The sequence below is a fragment of the Homo sapiens genome, chromosome 4 (assembly GCF_000001405.40).
Source record: "Homo sapiens chromosome 4, GRCh38.p14 Primary Assembly".
NCBI lineage: Eukaryota > Metazoa > Chordata > Mammalia > Primates > Hominidae > Homo > Homo sapiens.
In genome coordinates, this window is record NC_000004.12 from 24,444,370 (window position 1) to 24,469,816 (window position 25,447).

Here is a 25,447-nt window from a genome sequence, read left to right on the forward strand (position 1 = left end):
AGACCTGTGTTTTAAAAACTTTGTTTTTAAGTGGTTCAATTAGGAGTCTACTGCACTTATCCAAGCAAAAAAAATTTAAAAATTTAAAAAAAAAATAAAAGCTAGGGGTAAAGTTGTCACAAAGAGAACAAGTCAGCTTTGAGAATCATTTCTACACCCAAAGAGCCTACAGTCTGGACTGGAAAATGAAGCAACACAGTGAAACAGAGAACAGTACAGGGTCATGCATGAGCCATTGCTATATGAACATCACAGAAGGTGAGAGATTGATGTAACTTAGAAAGTCAGGATTGGCCTCCTAGCAAAGACCACCTTAAACTTGGGAAGAACTGATTCTGGGATAGTAGCCTGAGTGAATATTAGACGAGCAAGTGAGTCTGTATCTGCTTGAAAGAACAAAGAGACAAAAGCCAGGTGCAGTGGCTCCAGCCTGTAATCTCAGCAATTTGGGAGACAGGCAGATGGCTTGAGCACAGGGGTTTGAGACCAGCCTGAGCAACATGGTGAACCCTGTCTCTAGAAAAGTTGTAAAAATTAGCTGGACGTGGTGGCGCACACCTGTAGTCCCAGCTACTCGGGAGGCTGAAGTGGGAGGATTGCTAAGCCCAGGAGGTGGAGGTTGCAGTGAGCTGTGATTGCGCCACTTGCACTCCAGCCTGGGCAACAGAGCAAGACCCTGTCTCAAAAAAAAAGAGAGAGAGAGAGAGAGAAAACCACAGCTACTTGAGCATCCCTACACTGACCTGACAATCCTGAACAGTGCTTCACATTGAAGTAGTCATCTCAGCAAATCCTCTATGGCTAATCCCTCTTAGAGTCTCCCAAAATGTTAAGACCATCACCCCAGTCAACAAGGAACAAACCGTCTGTGGTCACTGGCATTCACAGGTGTGAATAAGATCTCAAGACTGATTGTTTTTCTATACTGAAGACTTATCTAATGCCTCTGCTCTGACTGGTCTTTCATTTAAACGTTTCCTAAACCATGTGTCCGTAAGGCTGTGTGGATACAAAATCGATATCTTGACAATTCCTTTTTGTCTATTCTGATGACACAACCAGATTGTCAGTACTGGATTCGTATATTTTACACAGGCCCTGTTTGGAATACACACAGTGGGTTTTCTGATTATTATAAAATAATAACAATTTTCATGCAGTGGATTAGATTCTTCCAAACCTCTCAGGAAACATGTTGGTATATGTGAAGCTTCGCACTGAAAGTATTTCAGAGGGTAAGTCAAGATCACATCTGTAGCTCCTTTAATCTGGGTGGGGCAAGACAGGACATGAAAAGCATCAGAAAATCCCACCATTATACATTTCTGGGTCTAGTGGGCAGGAAGGGGATGCCTTCATTTGCCAAATGTGTTCTGAGAATCTGGAGAACATTGCTGGTTAAAAGATACTTATTCAGGCCAGGCGCAGTGGTTCACGCCTCTAATCTCTGCACTTTGGGAGGCTGAGGCGGGCGGATCGCTTGAGGCCAGGAGTTCGGGACCAGCCTGACCAACATGGTGAAACCCTGTCTCTACTAAAAATACAAAACTAGCCTGGTGTGGGGGCATGTGCTGTAGTCCCAGCTACTTGGGAGGGTGAGGCAGGAGAATCACTTGAACCTGGGAGGCAGAGATTGCAGTGAGCGGAGATCACGTCATTGCACTCCAGCCTGCACATCAGAGCAAGACTCTGTCTCAAAAAAATAAAAATAAAAATAAAAAAGACATTCATCCATTCAATATAATTGAAATTCTGAGTGGTAAGGCAGCTTTCTCTCAACAGGACCTCATTCTGGAACTTGGCATACTCCAAAGCCAAGATAAGAAGGACGGTTGAATTTCCCCACATCTTCACCAACAGCTGTCTGTTATATTTTGTTTTTTACTTTTTTATAATAGCCCTCCTAACAGATGTGAGGTGGTATCTCATTGTTTTGATGTGCATTTCCCTGATGATTAGTGCCTTTGAGCACCTTTTCATATACCTGTTGGCCATTTGTGTGTCTTCTTCGGAGAAATGTCTATTCAAGTCTTTAGCCTGTTTTTTAATAGGATTATTGGGTCTTTTGCCATTGAGTTGTAGGAGTTTCTATATATTTTAATTCCTTCAAGGGGAAAGAGGAGACAAAGACTATTTTAGCGAAGTAACAGTACAGAGGTGTGCTAACGGCCAGAGGAAAAGAAAAGGTCTCTCACAGAGCAGGTGAAGTGGAAAACACTGAATTTTTTTTTTTTTTTTTTTTTTCTTGATGGAGTCTTGCTCTGTCATCCAGGCTGGAGTGCAGTGGTGCGATCTTGGCTGACTGCAACCTCCGCCCCCTAGGTTCAAGCAATTCTCCTGCCTCAGCTTCCTGAGTAGCTGGGATTACAGGTGCCTGCTACCACGCCTGGCTAATTTTTTGTATTTTTCAGTAGAGACGGATGTTTTGCCATGTTGGCCAGGCTGGTCTCAAACTCCTGACCTCAGGTGATCCACCCGCCTCGGCCTCCAAAAGTGCTGAGATTACAGGCGTGAGCCACCACTCCCAGATTGAATTTATTAATGCTAGAGAACTATCTCACAACTTTGCCTTATTTTACAAGTTAAAACCCACCCACTGAATCAAAGACACCCCTTTCTAGAGAAGGTCCTCAGCCTCTGGCAGCATCGTCTATCTGACTGCTGCTACTCCAAGACGGCCTTGCTCCAGCCCTCCCTTAGAGACACCCTGGAATTCTCTAGAATTCTCCACAGGCCAGGCCAGCTACTGAGCCCCAACAGAGCCTTCTCCAAGAAGTAACTGTTAACACTCTCCTCCCTCCCCTGCCAAGTGATCCCAAGGCTCTGGAGAAACAGAAGATGGCTCTTCACAAAACAACAACAATTGACACTTCCATCATTGCCCTGCCCAGCTCTGCTGAGTACACAAGGGACCATCATCACCAACCAGGGGCTGAGCCAAACAGAGCTGCCCTCTGGAAAAATGGAACTAAGTCAACCAGAGAAGGGACACAGGAGAAGTGAGACAATCAGGGAAGCTGAGGAGCCCAGGGATGCGGCACTGGAGCTGAAAAAGTGATGATGTGGAAACAGGGCTGGCAGCCATTGGGCTGAAACTCAGGCCAGGTGAGTCAGTGCATAAAGGGGCTCCTAGGAAGGTCAGCAGTCTCGACCTTGCCTCTGCAGAGCCCAGTCCCACTTCACAGGAGATGTGGCTTCACCTCACTTTCTCACCTTGGAGTCCATGATGTGTCTGAATCCTCGTCATGCATCTGCTGTCCAGTTGAGTGGGTTTCCTCCTTGCAAACAAAGGAACCTGAACAAAAGCAAAGGACAGGGACCACGTCCCTGGGCTCCTCAGTTTCCCCAGTTGTCTCACTTCCCCCACATATACACTCAACCCACCTCTGCCCCATTTAGGTCCTAAACGTTAGGAGAAAACATCGGCATGAAACAGTCCCAGAAGACATCCTTTCCCACAGAACAACAGGAGGCAATGGCCTGCAGCATCTAGAGACTTCATCACCAAGCCCTTCAAGCCAGGCAATCGTTCTGCTCCATAACTAACAAAACACAGGTTTGCTTATTTAGACATTAAAACACGCATTTTTAAAAACACCAGAGGGTTCCCAAGAGTACACAGAGCGTGTCTGCTGCAGTGCACCCTTCTCATCTACCACTGAATTCCAGCTCCTCACAAAGAACCGTGGACATCTGCCCTTAACGAGCTACTAAACTTTTATCACGCTAGATTTTTTTAAATCTCCCCTTTAACCCAAGCAAACATTATTTTCCTATATAACTGAATGTATCATTGCTCCACACTTTACAGTAATCTAACTTGATGAAACAGCCTTGGCCCAGGAGGCTGTTTAACGTTTGAGGAGCCCACGTCAGATTGATCAGTTGCACTTCCTACCAAATACACAGATGTCCCTAGAATGCTGGTAAGCAGAGGCAGCGGCCCACACTCTTCTTTGTTTAGGTGAATGCCTCTCCATCTTTAGTCCCTGCCCTACCATCCATCTCTGCTGCTTTATGCAAGAGCCCCTCACTTTCCTCCTGATTCATTCTTGTTCTTGTTACAGCCCATCTTCTTTGAAGCTGTCAGAGTGATCTTTGAAAAACATAAATCAGGCCATGTCCCTCCCATGCTTTAAAATCTCCACTGGATTCCCACATCACTGAAAATAAAGTCTAAACTCCTCACATCACCCACAGTATGGAGGGACCTGGGGTCTTATCATCTCTGACCTTATCTTAGACCACAGCCTCGAACTCTCCCAGCTGTGGCCACATAGGGAGTTGCTTCCCACCTGGCCTCTGCCTGGAACACTACCCAGAAGATCGAAGGTTAATCACGACCTTTCCAGGGAGACCTCCTGTGACCACCCCTAGTCTGAATACCCCTCCCTGCATGTCTCACACACACCCCATTGAAACCATGCCTATCAACTTTATAAAATTAGGGAAGAAGGGAGGCGGGGAAACAAAGATAAATCAAGCTTGCAGCACATGCAACATGAATCATGAGATCTGCCTGCTCTTGGATCTGCTTCCTCATAGTTGTTGGTGCCTATTGCCTCAGAATCACATAGAACACATAGACCCTGTTACAAGATTATAGTTCCCCTTAACTGCTCTACAAATAAAAATTTGAACATCATAAAACGTTGTTTTCCCTTTGAGATGTTCTTTCAGGTCCCACATACCAGTGAAACTACTGACGTCAGCTGGTCTGCAGGACCCCACAAGAGCTGACTCACCAACGAAGGCAGTTTCCATGTCTCAATGATTTCCTGCCCCTTATCCTAACCAATCAACGACCCCAATTTTCTAGCCCCTCACTCTCCATGAACTGCTTAAAAACCCAGCCCAGAACTCCTTGGGGAGATGGATTTGAGGGTCTTCTACCATCTGCTCACTCGGCCCCCTGCAGCCATTAAACTCTTTCTCTGATGCAAACCCTGCTGCCTCAGTGTAATTGGTCTGTTCCTGTGCAACGGGCATAGGAAACTGTTGGTCCTATAACACTTCCTGTTGCTGATCATTGTCTATCCCATCACATGATCTTTTTGGAATCTTTATAGCACTTCTCACTTTCAGAAATTATCTTGTAACTGCATTCAATTTTGTTGTTTTATTCTGTCTCTACCTGCAAGATTATAAATTCCATCAAAGCCAAGGCTCTAGGTTCTAAAACAATGCCTGGCACATGATAGAGCCTCCAAAAATATTTATTGGAAGAACAATCCTCTGACTTGTGATTGAAAGAGTTATAATTTTTCAGGTAGTTTTGCACAAAAGACTTTTGTCCTCCATTTATAAGTCTGAAGTACTAATTTCTACTTTAATATTACTTTTTCCACTGATAATAGAAATAATAGTCATCATGTGATTTTGAAATACCACTCTATATTAAATACCTAAGTAATCTGCATCTATTATAGGTCAACAAAAAAGAACCGGATATTACCTCTCTCCTATAATTGGATTGTATTTTCTGAAGAATCATGTTATTCTGGAGTTTTACCTTCTAATTTTCTTTTGTATTATATGTTTTTATTCCCTGCAAATAAATGGGCAGTTTTTTTCCATTTTGTGTGCAAATCAGGAAAGAAATATTTAAACCAGACAACAGCTTTCTAGAAATGACCTAACTGGTATATATTAGAGCATAGGGCTTCTCAACAAAGAAATAAATGTGTTGTTCCTAGAAAATATTTTATTGAAACTTACCCCATCACCAACATGGTCTGTGGGAACAAGTCTAGAAGAGGATGAAGAAACAAATGACTGGGTCAAGTGGACATTATCGTTCCCCAAAAATGGTCTCTCGTAAACATGGTTAGCCTCTGTTCATATGTGCCACACCTGTCTCTCTCTCTCCCTCCTTTTATACCAACATTATCATGATGGCCTCTGTTTGCTTCCCACATGCCACACATTGTCCTAAGCTTTGTCTTGTATTCACATGTACGAACTCCTTTAACTCTTAACCTCAGAAGGTGAATGTTAAAATGTCCATTTTACAGATCAGAAAGCTGAGGATTAGTAATGTGCAGAGCTGACTGCAAGACACAAGACCTTCGCCATCACATTATACTTACATTTCTTTCTAGAACTTTCATATGGCAAGATTTTTATTTAGAAGGGTCAAAACTTTAAAGCAATATAGAATTCTTACACAAAGCTGCCTAGGAAAATATAACTGTTTCAAAGATCCTTCTCTTCCCAGTTAAAAAAAAGGTGGGGGGATCTAAAGTCTATATTTTTCTCACCAGTAAAAATGATGGCAGTATTAATAACCACCTTGTTGAATTCATCATTACAAGTAATCTTTCTTTCTTCCTTTGACTTCATAAACACTGCATATTCAGTCTGGGCCAGATGCCTACAGACATCTTTGAAAACAGTATTTCATCATCTGAATATTTGACCATTTGAAGGAAAAAAAAATAGCTGTTCCAAATTCCTGCCTTTATACATGTTTTCAAGGCTCAGTGGAAATGTACCTCTCTGCCTCTTGTTGTCCCTCAAATGACCACCCACAGATGCCTCTTCTGTTATGAAAGACTGTCTCAGAAACCAAAAGCTGTCTAAGAAAATTATCATTTCTTTTCAGAACTCTTCTGAGTCTGCTCAAAGACAAGAAACTACAGGGAATTTGATTAGAATCACAAATAGATCTAAGAGTAATAGTAAAGGAAGTTAACAAAGCTGAGATAATCAGCACTTCAGCTTGGGTTCCTAATCAAATAAATCTTTGATTTTCATTATTTTGTTTAATCTGAAATACCCCTTGCCAGCATATACCATAAACTTTGCTTTGATGTCTGCATAAAAATGGATATTGTTTCTATATTTGTACTGTGTCTTATTGACTGGAATTAAGTTCACCATCAAATAAGAATTTTAACATTTTCTTAAACATTCAGGGCTTGTCATATTTTCTACCCTGGCTACAGAAAATCCTCTGACTATCCCTTTTTAGGCTACTAAATATCTCTTTTAAAAGCTGGCTGACTTCTAAAACAAGCACGACCCTAATGGCACTTTCAATGAGAGTCTCTTCTACATATGTACATAGGTCAGTTGCTGATTTATTTTAGTCCAGTTCTTCTACCTACATTACAGTCATTACATTCTATGCCATGAAGTGCCTCATGGGACCAAGAGAGCTAGACTGTGTGATGGTTTGGGTTTTTTTGGGTTGTCTTTTGTTGTTGTTGTTGTTGTTTGTTTTTTGAGATGGTGTCTTGCTCTGTCGCCAGGCTGGAGTGCACTGGCACCATCTCGGCTTACTGCAACCTCTGCCTCCCAGGTTCAAGCCATTCTCCTGCTTCAGCCTCCCGAGTAGCTGGGATTACAGGCACACGCCACCACACCCAACTAATTTTTGTATTTTTAGTAGAGATGGGGTTTCACCACGTTGGCCAGGATGATCTCGATCTCTTGACCTCGCAATCTGCCCGCCTCAGCCTCCCAAAGTGCTCGGATTACAGGCATGAGCCACTGTGCCCGGCTGTGATGGTTAATTTTATGTGTCAATTTGACTGGGCCATGGTGCCCAGATATTTGGTCAAACATTATTCTAGATGTTTCTGTGAAGGTGTTTTTTGTACGAGATTTAACATTTAAACTATTGGACTTTGAGTAAAACAGATTACCCTCCCAAGTGTGGGTGGGCCTCATCTAATTAGTTGAAGGCATGAATAGAACAAAGACTGACCTCCCCTGAGCAAGAAGGAATACTTCTAGCAGAAGAATTACAACTCAAACTGAAACTCTCCCCTGGATCTCCAACCTGCCAGCCTGCCATGCAGATTTTGGACTTACCAAGCCTCTATAATTGCATGAACCAATTCCTTAAAATAAATCATCTCTCTCTGCCTGCCCCACCCCCCCACACACAAACACACACACACACACACGCACACATGCACCCTATTCTTGTTGGTTTTGTTTTCCTGGAGAATTCTAATACAGACTATCTAACATTGTTGTCATTTCCAGTGAAGCTTCAGCTGCTTCCTTTAGTTAACAAAATGTGTTCTAATTGCATAGGGAGGTCTAAGAAGTTCTACTCTCTCGACCTCATTCCTTCCATCATTGTGCACTAGTTATAATATGACTTTGAATAGGCAAAGGTTAGGATCCATTCGCTTCCTTGTTGACAGCCAGCTAAAAGACACTAGGCCACACATTCACCACTCTTTTCTAAACTATAAATCTTGAGATCACTGTATTTCTGAATGACCACCTGCCCTGGGTTGTTCATTTTACTTATTTTTTCATAAGTGAAATTTTTTCATACTCTATTCAATCACGTGTGGCGTGGAATACTGTTCCATGTGCTGGAAACACAAGGATAAATAAATATGCTGCCTTTGTGGAGTTTACAGTCTAGTGGGGAGACATAAAAAATAGCGGCAAAAAATAATATCTCTTGGCATTAACATCCCCAACAAAGGGCCTGGGATTTCAACTCTATTACTATAATAATGATATTTTAGAATGAGGCAAATGACGGGGGTGTAAGGAGGTTGTTACTGGCTGAACTGTGTTCCTCCTACCCCCTAAGGAAATTCATGTTGAAGTCTTAACACCCAGTGCCTTAGAATGTGACTGCATTTGGAGACATGGACCTTCACAGACGTGACTGCATTTAAACTCTGGTCTTTAGGGTGAATCCTAACCCAGTATGACAGCTGTCATTATAAAAGGGGGAAATTTGAACACAGGCAGGCACAGAAGGAAGACCATGTGAAGATACAGGGAGAAGATGGCCAACTACAAGGCAAGGATGGGGGCCTAGAACAGAGCCTTTCCCTCATGGGCCTGAGAAGGAACCAAATCTGCCAACACCTTGATCTCAGACTTTCAACCTTCGGAACTGTGAGGAAATAATTTCTGTTGTTTAAGACACCGAGCCCGTGGTACTTGTTACAGCAGCTCTTGCAAACTAATACAGAGGCTAAGCTTAATAATGATGTACAGCAATGGCTGAAGATAAGAACAAGTAAGGGAGTTCTCATAAAGGCTTCATCAACCTGACCTAATGACTGACTAGAAGCAAAAGGAGAAGGAAAGCAAGAGATGCAGGTCGACTTGAGTTATGGGTGTAGTAAATTATAAAAGTGGCCACTAGGCTGGGTGCAGTGGCACACGCCTGTAATTCCAGCACTTTGGGAGGCCAAGTGGGTGGATCACCTGAGGTCAGGAGTTGGCAACCAGCCTGACTAACGTGGTAAAACCCCATCTCTACTAAATACAAAAAAATTAGCTGGGCGTGGTGGCACATGCCTGTAATCTGAGCTACCTGGGAGGCTGAGACAGGAGAATCACTTCTACCTGGGAGGTGAAGGTTGCAGTGAGCCGAGATCATGCCATTGCACTCCAGCCTGGGCAACAAGAGTGAAACTCTGTCTCAAAAAAAAAAAAGTGGTCGCTAATTCCCTCCCCACTCCCATCCCTTCACCCCTCCTCCACCCCACCTCCACATACCTGTCCTTATGATGTGGTCTTGAAGATACTCCAATCAAAAGGTAGTGTCTATTTCTCAACTCCTAAATATGGGCTGGCCTTGTAACTTTCTCTGACCAATAGAACAAAATAGAAGTGATGCTTTATTAGTAACAAGCCTAGGCCTCAAGACGCCTTGCAAGCTTCTTCTCCCTTACTCTTCTTGGTAATCTTCTTGATCACTACTATTGAATAAGCCTGGGCTAGCTTACTGGATGATGGAAACGTGGATACATGGCTGTGTTAGCCCCAATTCCCCAGCCAGCAGTCAGCCATCTGCCAGATTGATGAGCAATCAACTGCCAGCTGACTGAAGACATAAGTGAACCCAGCTGAGTCAAGCAGAAGACCCACCCAGCTGACCTTAGCCCATATTCCTGACCCATATAATTGTGCACTTATACATGGTTGCTGGTTTTTTTTTTTAACATAGTATATGGTTTCAGTTTTAAGACACAAAGTTTTGGGGTAGTTTTTGGTACACTGAAAAAGTTACTTGGTATGTGGGATAAATATTGTTTCCTTTTGCCTGGATAAGAAATTCAAGAGCAAAGCAATCCGGATAAGAAATTCTGCCTTGGGCCCAGTGCAGTGGTTCACACCTGTAATTCCAGCACTTTGAGAAGCTGAGATGGGAGGATCACTTGAGCCCAGGAGTTGCACTCCAGCCTGGACAACATGACAAGACCTTGTTTCTACAAAAAAAATTTTTTAAATAGCTGAGTGTGGTGGTGCATGCCTATAGCCCCACCTACTCAGGAGGCTGAGGTGAGAGGATCACTTGAACCTGAGAGGTTGAGGCTGCAGTGAGCCAGGATTGCACCACTGCACTCCTAGCTGGGTGATAGAAAGAGACCTTGTCTCAAAAAAAAAAAAATCTGTATTTGACATATTGTGTTTGAAATATCTGAGACTGTCAAGAAGCCAGTTAGTTAAATAGTTCCGAGTCTCAGGCAAGAGGTCTTATTTTGAAATACAAATCTGAAAGATAGTCATGTGACTGATTTCCATCCATGAGTAGATTGTCACAAAAAAAAAAACAAGAATAGAATAAAGGAACAAGAGATCCAAGTTAGGACCCCACGAACATCAACATCTAACATCAGGCAAAGCAGGAAAGTCAATTAGGGAGAAGAGGAAACCGATGAAATACACGAGAGAAGTCAAAGGAAATTCTCAACAGAGTCAAAGTCATAGTAATGTCTAAAAAAACAAATAGGGCTGATAAGAGTCCCAAACATTTGGGAATTATAAAGTCATTGCCAGAAGAGTTTTAGCAAAGCATTGAAGGCTGACTCTTACCAGCCATCATTAAAGAATGAATGGGGCCGGGGCAGTGGCTCAAGCCTGTAATCCCAGTGCCTTGAGAGGCTGAAGTGGGAGGATCACTTGAGGCCAGAAGTTTGAGACCAGCCTGGGCAACATAGCAAGACTCTGTCACTACAAAAAAATAAAAAATTAGCTGGGCTTTGTGGCTTGCGCCTGCAGTCCTAGATATTCGAGAGGCTGAGATGGAAGGATCACTTGAGTCTTGGAGTTTAAGGCTGCAATAGCCATCATTGTGCCACTGCACTCCAGCCTGGACAACATAGCAAAAGCAAGTCTCTGAAAAAAATTAAAATAAATTTTGTTTACAAAAGTGCCTGGAAGGGGATGAATTGGAAACAATGAGTATAACTACTATGGTTTGAATGTGTCCCCCAAAGTTCAAGTGTTGGAAACTTAATCCCCAATGCAACAGTGTTGAGTGTTTAAGAGTTAATTATGTGATGAAGGCCCTGCTCTCATGAATGGATTACTGTCATTATCTCCAGAGTTGGTTAGTTGTTCCAAGAGTGAGCTTATTATAAGAGGGAGCTCACCTCCTCTTGCCCTCTTGCTCTCATGCGTTCCTGCCCTTCTACCTTCTGCCATGAAATGATGCAACACGAAGGCCCTCACCAAACATCAGCACCATGCTCTTGGACTTACCAACCTCCAGAACTGTAAGAAATAAATCTCTGTTTTTTATAAATTACCCAGTCTGTGGTATTCTGTTATAGCAACACAAAATGAACTAAGATAATTATCTAGCTGAGCTTGGCAGATAGGCTGCTTTAGACACTATCTGCCTCTTTGCTCAAAGAATCTGTGAGCTACTGGTGGCAGCCAATGTCACACTCATGCTGATTAATGCCATTAAAAGGTATAGTACCCAGCATTAGCTGGGCCTTTCATGCCATGCAACAAAGGGAAAAAAAGAGACAAATAACCCCTAAAGGGAAGTGAAAGATTGATGGGAGAATTTTTCAAGATGGGAGAGATTTTGGTACATTTATTCCTAATTTTATTGAGTCATAAAGCTGTAACTGATGCATTGAAGTCCTGGAGAGGATGGCAAGGGATGATATCCACAGCACAGGTGGAAGAAAAGCTAGGGGTGGAAAGATAAGAGATTTCCAGATATGAGACAAGAGGTTGAGGGAATTCACATTGGGTGACCATGAATCCTTACCTGGAAGGAAGCCCATTGGTGGGCAGGGGAGTTGGGGACAGTGGGAAATGTTCAGAGCTGCAGATATGAACAGTGAGTGAGCTTGATATTCCATACGATATTTGCTAGATGACGCTGAAGTTGAGGATAATAAAATTATACTGGCATTCTTTGGTATGGCTGGTTTTTTCCAACAGCAGGAAATAGCTTGCATGCAGAAGCAAACAGAACAGTTGGTTGCACCAATCCAAGACTAGGATTTTTGTGGACAGATATAGAAGGGTGAGAGATTAAGAGCTTTGAGGTTTTAGCAAGACAGTGGTTAACATAATATATCATGGGATCTCTCAGCTGGCTAAAAGGAGTCAGGGGAAAAGCATGGTTAATGAACTTGGAAAAAGGGAGAGTAGGGGAGCAAGCAGAGAGGCTATGAGGGTATAACCAGATATGGTTACACTGGAGTTTAATGTTCTGGAAGCAGAGACATTACAGAAGACAAGGCCAGAGTGTGGGCAATGTGACTGAGCTGGCAAAGTATGGTGGGGATGAAGTCTTGCAACTCTGAAGCTAAGTCACTGGATATTTCCTGCACACGCAGATGCTGAAGACCACCCTGATGGTGGCAGTTCAGATAGCAAAGAGGACATGAGCCAAGGGACTGAGCCTTCATGGGACCAGAGGAAGTAACAGGGATACAATAAGACAGCCAGGAAAAAGGGTAGAATATGGTCTATGGGAATTTCACTGGGAGGTATGGGATCATACAGTTTTGCAGGATTATGGCAAAGGAATGTTTTGGAAGCAATAGTGACCACAGCTCCTTTGAGCCTGGGAAGTGTAGACAAATGAATAGTCACTCCCCCTGCCCTCTCCAGAATGCACTTTCTTGGGGAAAAATCAGATGTGGGGAGGGAGAGTTTAATGAACCGGGGTCCAAAGACGTTGTTGAAAAAAATTATGAGAAAGTCAAGTGAGAAAGAAAGAGGGGCAAGCCAGAGAGAATGAGAATGACCTTCACTGTGGGGTTTAATGTTTCATCTTGAATATGAGCTTTATTTTTCACAAATATCTTTAAGATTTCTAGCCTGGGTCCAATCAGACAAACAATAATGATGCCATAGGATATAGTCAACATTCCTCTTCTCTTGGAATTATCTCAGGAATAACAAAAGATACTGTTTTTTGTTTGTTTGTTTGTTTGTTTGTTTGTTTGTTTTAAGATGGAGTCTTGCTCTGTCCCCCAGGCTAGAGTGCAGTGGCGCAAACTCGGGTCACTGCAACCTCCGCTCCCAGGTTCACGCCATTCTCCTGCCTCAGCCTCCCGAGTAGCTGGGACTACAGGCACCCGACACCACGCCTGGCTAATTTATTATTTATTTATTTATTTATTTATTTTTTAGTAGAGATGGGGTTTAACCATGTTAGCCAGGATGGTCTCGATCTCTTGACCTCGTGATCCACCCGCCTTGGCCTCCCAAAGTGCTGGGATTACAGGCGTGAGCCACCGTGCCTGACCGAGATACTGTTTAGAGTCCAGGTTTATTCCTTGTTTTGAAGTTAGGTAGTTCAGTAAATAGAACAAGAAAGATTTTTCTCTGTAGATCTCAACAGAACATAGGCCAGTAGGTATTTGCAGAGATATTATACCCTGGAAGGAAAGAAAAAAAGGCTCTGATAACTGGAGTTAAACTCTTGATGTAAACTATTTGCTTGGATCCCTTGACCAACATTTGGTTCTAGCAGCCAAAAGAATTTGCAAAAACTAAAGATGAAGGAAGGTCATCAGAGTTGTAAGAATGACCTCTTGACTAATATGTATGGTTGTTAAAAAGGGTTATTTTGGGGTTTTCAAATGCACAAAGAAAATATTGGGCTGGGCATAGTGGCTCACATCTGTAATCCCAGCACTTTTGGAGGCTGAGGCAGGTGGATTTCTTGACCTCAGGAGTTTAAGAGCAGCCTGGGGAACATGGCGAAACCCCATCTCCACAAAAAAATACAAAAAGTAGCTGAGTGTAGTGGCACACGCCTGTAGTCCCAGCTACTTGGGAGGCTGAGGTGGGAGGATGGCTTTAGCCCAGGAGGCAGAGGTTGCAGTGAGCCAAGATCGTGCCACTGCGCTCCATCCTTTGTGAGAGAGCGAGACCCTGTCTCAAAAGAAAAGGAAAAGATAAGAAAATACTGTAATATGAGGATTTATTTTATGATATTCTCCATCTGGTACCCTTACATGTACCTGTCTGGAGTGTAAGTTGGTGCATCTTTTCAGAGAGGCAATTACATTTGTACGGCCTTTAACCCAGTAGCTCTACTACTGGGTATTACCCTAAAGAAATACTCATAGATATGTACGTGATTTAGTCATAATTGGTGACAACCTAAATACCCAATGATACAGGATGGTTAAATAAATGGTTCTATTAACATACAATGGGATACTACAGGGCCACTAAAAATTATATGGAGGCATATGAAATATTATATGGCAGGTCAGTTATGATTTATTGGACTAAAATAAGGTTACACAAATATTTACATGTGATACCAACTTAAATATGAAATGCATACACCTAGAAAGAAGACGGGAAATATATAAATCAAAATATCTGTGATTATCTCTAGGTATTTAGACGATGTATGGTTTTGATTCGATTTTTCTTCTTTTTTCAACTTTTCTAAGAAAAAAAATCCAAAACAAAAATATATATCTACAATAAGAAAAATTAATAATATGCTTTTATCAGTTTCCTGGGTATATTACTTGCAAAAATAATGCTCTAAGAAGCCAAGTTTAAATTTTTTTAATTAAAAGGTAAAATATAAAGGAAGACAATATTCCCTATATGTGAAAATATCCTAATTTCAAGGGGAAACTCCCTTTTTAGCAAAAAGGTCTTTTGGGGAGGGTCTTAAAGGAAATGGCTCTGCCCATCTAAGTTCTGACCCTTTCTGTTTTGCTAATAATCACGTGGCTATTAGGGGCTGATGTCTTTAAATTCCAAGAATGAGTTAAAGATTATTTCTCTGGTCACATGATTAATAAAGATGTTTAGTTAGTGCCTATTTCATTCCCTACACTGTATTTAATGTTATGGATGGTGTAAATAATGAAAAAAAAAAAAACTCAAGGTATTCAGAAATCAATTAAGGAAAAAAAAACTGGGCCAGGTGCAGTGGTTCACTCCTGTAATCCCAGCACTTTGGGAGGCTGAGGCAGGCAATAGCTTGAGCTCAGGAGTTCGAGACCAGCCTGGGAAGCATGGTGAAACCCTGCCTCTACAAAAAATACAAAAATTAGCCAGGCATGGTGTTGCACACCTGTAGTCCAAGCCACTCAGGAGGCTGAAGTGGGAGACTTGCTTGAGCCCCAAGAGATTCAATCTGCAGTTAGCCAAGATTGCGCCGCTGAAATCCAGCATGAGCGACAGAGCGAGACCCTGTCTAAAAATAAACAAACAACAACAAAAAAAACTGTAGATATTTACTTTAAATACAATAGGCATAAAATAACTAATAACAACAATTAGCATTCAAGCAGTGCTTTTTCCGAAGCCTTCTTAAATACTGTATATGCCCAAATATAAGATGAGGTAGTTTCCCAAAACTCTCTGGAAATAAGAGATATTTGTGTATTTTTAAAGACTGACATATCATAGGACATTCTCTAGTTACTTTATTTAAACAACTAAGTGATGCTTGAAGAAGACTCAATAGCCTGAAATGACCTCAGACAAAGCTTTGGGATGTTTAGAGAGGTCACTTGACAGAATTGGTTACAGTGGATGCAAAGAGATTTAATACAGATTTAGTCATTATTCCTGGAGTAAGGTGCCACAGTACAAATGTTTAATATCATTGTAAACAAGCATTTTAACATAACTCCCTAAGTGAATCTAATGTATATTTATTTAACATCTACTTTATTCTGGGTCTGTATTCAATGCTAATGGCTTCTCTTTTCAGCCGGCGAACTGTTCTTCCACCATAATGATAATGACTAAGAGGACACTTTACGGTTTACAAACACTCCCCAAAACATCATCATACTTGATTATACTAGCACAGTGAAAGAATGAATATGGCCAAAATTCTGGGAAAATAAACCGGTATGTATGTTAATAGAGATAAACAATGAAGCAACCATTGTTTTTCAGCAGCCTGTTCTCTAGGACTAGTTTAATTGGGAGAAATAATTTTTAAATTCTTTCTAATGAAACTGTTACTATCAGGGTCAAAAAAATCAATTAGCAATAAGTCCTATTTTCTGAAACAACAAGGGTTTGATAAACATGGTAAAGATGATTCCATTCTCTTTTACCATTTGTTTGGCTCTTTCATCAAAGCTATGTAACCCTCTTCGTTTGACATCACACAAAGAAAGACCTAAAGGATTTCATTAGCACTGCTTCCTGGGCCTCACAGTGTGTCCTCAATTTCTGACGCTATTTCACTCTCCAGCTCGAGTGGCTAATTTTAATCCACAAAAAGTTTGGTAATTTATTGAAGTATAATAAATCCAAATAAAACTTCATCTTTGATTTACTAATTAAACTGTTCTTCTGACATTGTCAACAGAACAGATTTTAATTTTTTTAGAAACTGGGTCTCACTCTATCCTCCAGGCTGGAATGCAGTCATGTAATCCTAGCTCACTGCAGCCTAGAACTGCTGGGCTCAAGCCATCCTCCCGCCTCAGCCTCCCTAGTAGCTGAGACTACAGGTGCATGCCATCACACCTGGCTAAATGTTTTTATTTGTTGTAGAGGTGGGTCTTGCTATGTTGTCCAAGCTGGTCTCAAACTCCCGGCCTCAAGCAATCCCTCTGCTTCAGCCTCCCAAACGCTAGGATTGCAGCGTAAGCCACAATGGCCTGCCTAGGGCGGATTTTAAATGATGCAAAGATCTTAATTATTATCAACCAAGTTTGAAAGCTTTCTTGCTTGTGACAGAACAACTGGAGAGGAGTTCCTACTTCTAAATTTCTAAAGTCAAAACAATGAGCAGGAAAGACTCTGCCTCCTTTCACCTGTTCTTCTTTCTAGGCACATTATTTTTCCTTCTTGGTACTTCACACAGTTTAAAAGAGATAATGATAGCTAGATGATAGGAAGGGAAAAAGAGAGAGAAAGAAAGAGGGAGAGACAGAGAAAGAGAGGGTGAAGATGACGTGTGTATGGATATGGATGGACAGAGCTGTACTATTTTGTGTATATCTATTCATATGCACGCACATATCATCCGTCTATGTCTCTATCGTGTCTATCGTGTGTGTGTGTGTGTGTGACTTTTGTGTCTCTCTTACTAAATGAAAGCTCTCTTAGGGGGTAGGGCAAGCTCATTGTAGGTGCTCAATAAATTTCATTGAATGAAAAAAATTTAACACAATTTAAAAAAACTCTCGGCAGGTATTCCTTGACTAATTCCTTCTACACTTTCCTTCTGCCTCAAATGTCCCCACTCTCATCCCCCATTCTCATCTCCCAGATGCTCTCCATTTCTTAAAGCCCAGAACAAATGTCGCTGCCTTCTTGAAACTTTCTGTGATTTTTCCAGCCAAAAGTAAACTCCCTCTTCTCCAAATGACCACAGCACCGCTATCTCCTCCCTAAAGCACTAACTGTTTTCTATCTTCTTTGCATCCAGGTGGGTGGGGCTCCACTTGTAACACACATTCATGTTGAAGGCAGCATTTTTTTTCTTTTTCTTTCATTTTTAGACATGCAGAGCAGCATGTTTTTTGTTTGTTTGTTTGTTTTTGAGATGGAGTCTCGCTCCAACGCACAGGCTGGAGTGCAGTGGCGGGATCTCGGCTCACTGCAACCTCTGTCTCCCCAGTTGAAGCAATTCTCCTGTCTCAGCCTCCCAAGTAGCTGGGATTACAGGTGCACACCACCGCACCCGGCTAAATTTTTTTTTTTTTTTGTATTTTTAGTAGAGGCAGGGTTTCACCTTGTTAGTCAGGCTGGTCTCGAACTCCTGACCTCAGGTGATCCACCCACCTCAGCCTCCCAAAGTGCTGGGATTACAGGTGTGAGCCACCGCGCCTGGCCAGCATGTTTTATTTGTCCTTGATGCTCCTCTCTCCACTCCTCCATCAGTTCATCCATCTGAATGCAGCCTAACAGGATAGTTAAAACATGGGCTCAGACACCAGACATGCTTCATATAAATCCTGGCTCTACCACTTACTAGCTGTGTGACCTTGGCTACGTTACTTCATCTCTCTGGGCCTCAGTTTCCTCATGGAATACTAATAATAGTACCCACCTCATAGGGTAATTTGATGATGAAATGAGTGAATCCATGTAAAGCACTTTAAAATGTCTCTGGAATGTTACAGTAAGTGGTCTGTAAGTGGATTCTATTATGATGGACTCAATATAATTTGCTGAGAATCTAGTATGGACCGGGCGGTCTGCTCAGCTGTCACATCAGTAGGAACTCCATAAATATTTGAGGAATGACTGGTGAGAGCAACATTGACTCAGCCCTTTATTAAGTCAGTAACAAACGTCTTTCAGGTCCAAGGTCTCATTTAATCCTCACAACAATTGCAGGGGATGGATGTCACCCCCTCCACCTTCACCCAGGAGCAGAGTCCCTTCTGCACTGCACAAGCACATACTTAGCAGGTGAAAAGTCTCCATAGCGTTCACCTCACAAGCCCGCCAACTTCTAGAGATTTTTTTCCATTCCCTCCTGCAGCTCCCTCGACTTCACACGAAGCATCTTTTTTAGCATCTGTTCAGCCTGACTCCCATCATTAGATACATTCTTATGTGTTTATAATGCATCACTGATTTGTTTCAGGACTAAATCGTGGGATCTAAAAATAAAGTGATGTTGAACATATTTCTTTGCATATTAACTTTAAAGAAATGGATTAATCTTTTAGAAATAATCAAAATTAAATGATCCACTCAGCATGGAGCAGTTACCAAAAATAACAAAAAGCAAAAACTCTTCAGATTCCCACTTTTCCTTTTTTACTGCTTCTGGATTTGTTAATGTAAGCATATCCTTCATAATTTTTTCATTTGAAAAATTAAGAGGTTTAGCAAGCCTATGGTAACCCAATCTTGTTTTTCCCTGGGGACATTTAAATGGAAGCAGGATTCATTTATTCTCCAAGTCAAATTCTCATTTTCAAAAATGACATTGCGGAACTGCCGTCATCATCCTAAGAGATGGAACAAAGAATGATAAATAAAGTGACACATGTGTTGGTATAAAAGTTGTTTTCTGACATTTCAGCCATTTATCCAACACATATGCTCTGTCTGTCCACTACAGGCTGGGCAGGATGAGGATCTAGAATTGAAGAGGGTGTGGTTCTTTCTCAAAATCAGCTTCCTCAGTAGAATGGGAGGCAAGACTTCCAAATAAATATGACAGCAAGAGACAGAAAGCTTTATGGAAAGGAGAGCAATGGGAGTGGGAAAAAAAAGTCAATTCCTGCTGAAATAAAAATATGATCTGCCTATTTGATAGAACATTTAAAATGTTTTCCCTTCAACATACATGCACGCATATCCATTTTGACTGTTTGCTTCTTTTCTTTCTTTGGAACCTGACAATACTCTCAATCACCAGCCCTTGGGTGTTTACCTGTCACCTAGGCTTGGTGACATTGTTTTATTCAATTTGATATTTCCCTATTATTCAGAAAGGGTTATATATGCAAATAAATATACATTCTGGTTGCAACATTAAATAATGAGGCAAACTACAGTTTATAAAATGCAGTTGTTCCATGCCACATTTCATTTTAGGAGAGGGAGGCCTACAGCCAACTGTGAACAATTACCAAATTGTCAGTGGAATTCAATAAATGTTGTTTAAAAAAACTAATTATTTGTTACAATAACCAGCTACTACTGCCACTTTGTATTTGGAGGTTTGTAAACTACTTCCATTTGAAATGTAATTGATTCCATTTTTATCATTTGTTCAAGTTTATGTGGTTGTTCTCATCCTAAGAGATGATAACATCTATTTTCAGCAAATTATACATTATAATTCCTCATTCAAAAGCTGTAACAGAAAACAAAATGCTAATTTATGCTGTAAATGAAACTACAGAATCATAATCACTCATTGTTAACATTAGGGACTAAACTGCTACTGGAAATAATAAATTGGAGCAGAATGTGTAGGGGTTGTTGGTTAGCTTTTTCTTTTTCTTTGCATCTTTTTTGCTTGTTATTACACAACCAACACACTTTCTAATACTCTTTCAGGCAAGAGATTACATGGATGTCTTGTCTTCTTCCACAAAGAAGCCAGACGTTCACTGGGCTTTTAGCTATTACCTGCAGCTCTCTATTTGAAATCTATAGAAGACGTGCTCACAAAGCAATCAGACGTGCACACTACAGAGGGGAAGCAGATTAGAACTACACACCTGCTCTTCCACATTCCATTAAGTTTCCACATCTACATTTCCCTTTGCATCAACCATCTCCTCCCCTGCCCGCTTCCCTCCTCCCCTCCACCGCATGTTTCTCCTGTATGAAGACCCCAGCGTAACCTCTTCTGGTCAAGGTGAGCCTCCCCCAGTAGCAAGCTTCCCCTCTGCTTCAGCAACTACACCGAACAAATGCATAAATGCACATAAACCCAGTAACTTTTTTTAAAGATGGGGTCAGTAGCTACGATTACAGGCACACGCCATCACACCTGGTTATTTTTATTGTTCTTTAGAGATGGGGGTCTCCCTGTGTTGCTCAGGCTGGTCTTGAACGCCTGGACTCAAGGAATCCTCCTGCCGCAGCCTCCTGAGCAGTTGGGATTACAGGTGCGAAAAACCGTGCTCTGGCAAAATCAGTAAATTTCAATAAATATAGTCAACCCTTATTAACACACACAAAAAGGGTGGGGGTGGATCTGGTACCATATTCTAGACACTGCTTTGTTGAAATAACGATCTTCATGTGAAAATAATGTAATACCACCTAATGGCATTTTCTCCTTTCTTCTTTTTTTAAAACATAGAATCCGAAAGAAAGAAACATTTTAATATAATTATTATATCAAAAAGGTGAATTTTTCAAAAGGACCAAAAAGTCACACTGCCTTCTAGAGTAAATCACTTTTCTGCTGCCCTTTTATTTAATGCCGTCTGCTGTACACATTTACCTCTTCGCTGGCAAAGTGTGATCATTGATTTCCTATGGTCTCTCTGGAAGGAAGTTCTGCTTCCTTGATGATGAATACAAGGGGTAGGTGACCCCATTCTCATTCCAATGCAAGCCTTGCACTTTTACATTTCCGCTAGGGCTACAGGAACGTGAAAGCAGTGAGAAACTCCTTGCCCTCTTCATAGAGACTGTCTTGCTGTAACTACTGACATTTAATGTTTTCCCTCCGCTTCCCACAACTGTATTTTGGAAGATCACAAAATAAGGGCTGAACCACTAAAAGGCATTAGTTCATGATGGACATAAATGTTAGGCGCATGATTCAGTACAGAAGATACCTGTTATAACATGGCCGGGATGAGAAAGGTAAATTTCAGCCTAAATCTCAAATGTAACTATATGTAGCACAAGCGGAAAGTGACACGGATTAGCTCATGACAGTGTATCCCTCACTATATATATGATAGGGTTTTGATACATCTGAATGATTATAAAATTATTCTATTCATGTATCTCACAGTTATATTTCTTCTGTCGAATATTTTATTGATATTCATGTACATTTGGAATGAGTGCCCCACTAAACCATAATTATTCTGTTTTAGAAGGCCCTGTCTATCTCTCAGGCTAGATCTACCATTCAAACCAAAAAGAATGGTCAACTCAAACATCTAGTCCAAAAAGCATCAGGTAGTTATGGTTGATTCCACCAAAAGAGACAACTTCACCTCGTTCATCAAAAAGAATTCTATCTGGTTATATAAAAGAAAGTGGGTAAACTTGGGCAAACAAAGGAGATATTCACTATTTCACAAAGCTGGCAAATAAATGACACCATTGCCAAACTTGCCAGAAATGTACATGTGGCCACACAATTTCTTCTGTGTTGTAGCAGAAAGTGAGTACAGTGGGGATAAGAAGAGGAAGCTGGCACAAGTCTGTCTGGTGGAGGGCCCAGCTTTCCCTGACTAGCGCTGAGACCTTAGGCAAGTCACTTAATTCTCTGTGCTTTGTTTGCCTCATCTATAAAATGGGAATAACAGTAAAAGTACCTACCTCATATGTTGTTATGGAGATTAAATGAGTCAAATATTTATAAAGTATATGGAACAACAATTGATAAATGTTAGTCATTGTCACTGCTCTTTAATTACCAAGTTTAAGGTTTACATATATTACAAAGAAAAGCGAAAAACAGCACTTTGGGAGGCCGAGGTCAGGAGTTCGAGACCAGCCTGGCCAACATGGTGAAACCTCATCTCTACTAAAATACAAAAATTAGCCAGGCGTTGTGGCGTGCGCCTGTTGTCCCAGCTACTCAGGAGGCTGAGACAGGAGAATTGCTTGTACCCAGGAGGTGGAGGTTGCAGTGAGCTAAGATTGCACCACTGCACACCAGCAAAAAAAAAAAAAAGAGGAAGGAAGGAAGGAAGGGAAGGAAGGGAGGGAGAGAAAGAAAAAGAAAAAAAGAAAGAAAGAAAGAAAGAGAAAGAAAGAAAGGAGGGAGGGAGGAAGGAAGGGGAGAAAGAAAGAAAGAAAGAAAGAGAAAGAGAGAGAGAGAGAAAAAGAAAGAAAGAGAAAGAAAGAAAGAAAGGGAGAGAGAGAGAGAGAGAGAAGGAGGGAGGGAGGGAGGGATGGAGGAAGGAAGGAAGGAAAGAAAAGCGAACAATGTTTTCCAGCTGATGCATTAAGTAAGCCAGCCTTATTGGAAGACCTGCAACAAACTCTTTTCCTCTCCTATACCCCTAGGAGAAACCCAAAGTCAGAAAAATTGGAGTTATGTGAAAAGTGGGGTTCTGTGAGCTGGATTTACAGGAGGATTTCTAAAATTTATTTAAGGTAAGAACGTAGAAATGCACTTAAAACTCTTTTGCAGTTCATACTACATCTTCAGGGAAATAAAAATGTTGAAAAGGTATAGAAGCCCAGTTGATATTTTTTGAACTTTGAGGTATTGGCTATCTAACAACTTTGTAAATGGAGGACATTCCCAAGTCTTGGCTCATCTCCGGGGATGCCAACATTGTCACCACTTTAAGAATTATGAAATGTCCAGAAAGAAAGAAAAAAAAACACTGAATTCTTTATGGTATTTGGACTGAATGGAAAAGAAGTGTTCCTCAGTGGGCTGCTTTCTGCTTTGGCTATCCATATTCATGGAGGTAATGCCAAGCCAAAAAAAAAAAAAATGGGCAGTCAGCACAAGCTTTCGACAACTTACCCACGTCCATTAATGATTCTGCACTGAAACTTCTACCTTGCTGGAGAAGACACAGTGAGTATACAGAATTATGGGTACTGGCTAATTCAAAACAGTCACTGCCTACTCTGAGAAGATAGTTCCCTTATGAAGATGCCATTTTTATATTTCTAGTCTGGAAAATTTGGGAAGTGGTGGGGGCAGGGAGCAGATAAAGAAAAGTTTAAAAAGCAGGGTCAAGCCTCGTGGTAATGTCTTTTACGTAGCCTCAGGTTAAGCTACCCAGTAACCAAAAAGCTGGTCAATCAGGTGAGTAAAGTCAGATGTCTGGCCTCATGGACACTCGAGCAGTCAGCTAATTGGCTCCATTTTTCACTTTCAATTGATTGATTCAATATCATACAGACCTGGCCTGCTTCGATTTGGGCTTACATAGTGACAGCTAATAAGGTGACCTGGGTCCAAACTGCAAGCAGTAATAACCACTCCACAGTCAGCTTTCTGATGGAGACAGGAAGCCGAAACAACTACAGGAGAGAATCACAGGTTGAAAAGCACAACATCAAAAGATAAAGCTCGGTTTTGGAAGCTTGCACTACTGCCATCCCTAGGCGTGAAACTGTAAATTAAAGAATGGTCTGCTGTCTGCTGCACTGAGCCAAATCAGAGACATTTCACATATACACTTTAACTGGGGGTTTCATTCTAATTGAAGAAATGAATTCCACCTAAGCAGATGCTCCCCCCCGCACACACACACTTGCTATGATATGTTTTGCACATTGGCAAGTGGGTGCAAAATATCTGCAACATGGTCCTCTCAGATATAGGACGAAATTTCCCAGTTTTTAAATGGTAACAGATGTAGTTTCGGCTCTAATACACATTGGGCTCTCTCCAAAAAAATCACCCCTCCCTCCCCAGCTTCAAGAATAAAATGTCACAGAACAAGTAAAAACCTGGTCAGTGATGATTTGTGGCTGGGTTTTTGTTGTTTGTTTGTGTTTCTGTTTTTCAGTAATGAATAAACACCCTCATTGTTTCCAATTTTCCAGGTCTATATATCAAGAAGCTCCATCTTCATTATTTTTTTTTTACTTGCTTGTTTATAACGAGAGGCGTCATAATCATGTTTCTTGTGAAAATGAAAGTAATCAAAATGCCTTGTGATTCCAGGAAAAGAGCTTCTTAGGGAGACATGCCTGCCTGCTACTGATGTTGCAGAAAGGTTCCTTTTACATGGTATTAGATGTTGAGAGCACATCATATTGATCTAGAAATAAAAAGCTTGATTTTTTTTTAGTACAGTCAACGCTTACCTTCATAAGCACTATATAACACTAGGAAAAGGATTTTTAATTGAGGTAGAGTAAACAAATTATATCTGAAGAACATTGCCATTTTTAGGAAACGCAGGATATGTAAGCATTTTGGCAGCAATCAGGGTAAAATCATGAACAAGTCTCACTCTTGCAAATTTGGCCCAGGCCTTCCTATAGCAGCTCTGCCCGAGTCCAAGATGAGATTTAAAGTATCGCCTTTGTTGTATTCTTTTTCTTCTTAGGAACAGTTAGGAGCAGGTTTCTCAAACATGTGCCCATGCTCAAATGCTGAAAATGCAAACTGGAGATCAGTAAGGCCCGTTATGCACATGTATTCTTCATCTCTGAAAATGGAGATTGTGGCAGTGTTGGAAACCGCAAATCCTGGTAAGATTCACTGCCCCGGCTGCATTTACCACCAGAGATTAAAGCTTCGGTAGCATCTGACGCACCTTCCCCTAATGATGTACATCTCTCATTTGTTTCTGTACTTTATCTTAAAGTTCATACCACACCACTGGAAGAAGAAATCAATACTTCAAATAATCTCCTCTCCCCACCATACAATTTCACTGCACTAAGAGTAGCACAGTACCCAATACCAGCCCGAGAGCCAATCATTCTCCAGAGAGCAGAGCCAGCTGCTTTATCAGAAATTCTTTCGATTTTCTTAGCAACATGAGTATCCCCTTCTAGAAGAAAGATGTTGCCTCTTGGGGAAACGCTTTTCCACCTCAAGTTAAACTAACTTTACCTGAAGAAGCCGGTAGTTTTCCTCTTTTTAAAACGCCCCCCTCCGCAAATGGTT

General features: G+C 41.3%; 1 protein-coding gene and 1 long non-coding RNA gene across 12 annotated transcripts in view; one reads left to right on the forward strand and one right to left on the reverse strand.

Annotated features, from left to right (window-relative positions):
- The window catches only part of LOC124900678 (uncharacterized), a 30,104-nt gene extending 5,147 nt beyond the window's left edge, over nucleotides 1-24,957 (forward strand). Inside the window, exons 2-4 of the long non-coding RNA XR_007058074.1 lie at nucleotides 15,941-16,083; nucleotides 22,867-22,956; nucleotides 24,882-24,957. This is a non-coding gene — a long non-coding RNA (uncharacterized LOC124900678). The remainder of the gene's footprint in view (nucleotides 1-15,940; nucleotides 16,084-22,866; nucleotides 22,957-24,881) is intronic.
- Nucleotides 1-25,447, reverse strand: part of PPARGC1A (PPARG coactivator 1 alpha) — a 680,885-nt gene that overhangs the window by 652,349 nt on the left and 3,089 nt on the right. The window lies entirely within an intron of this gene.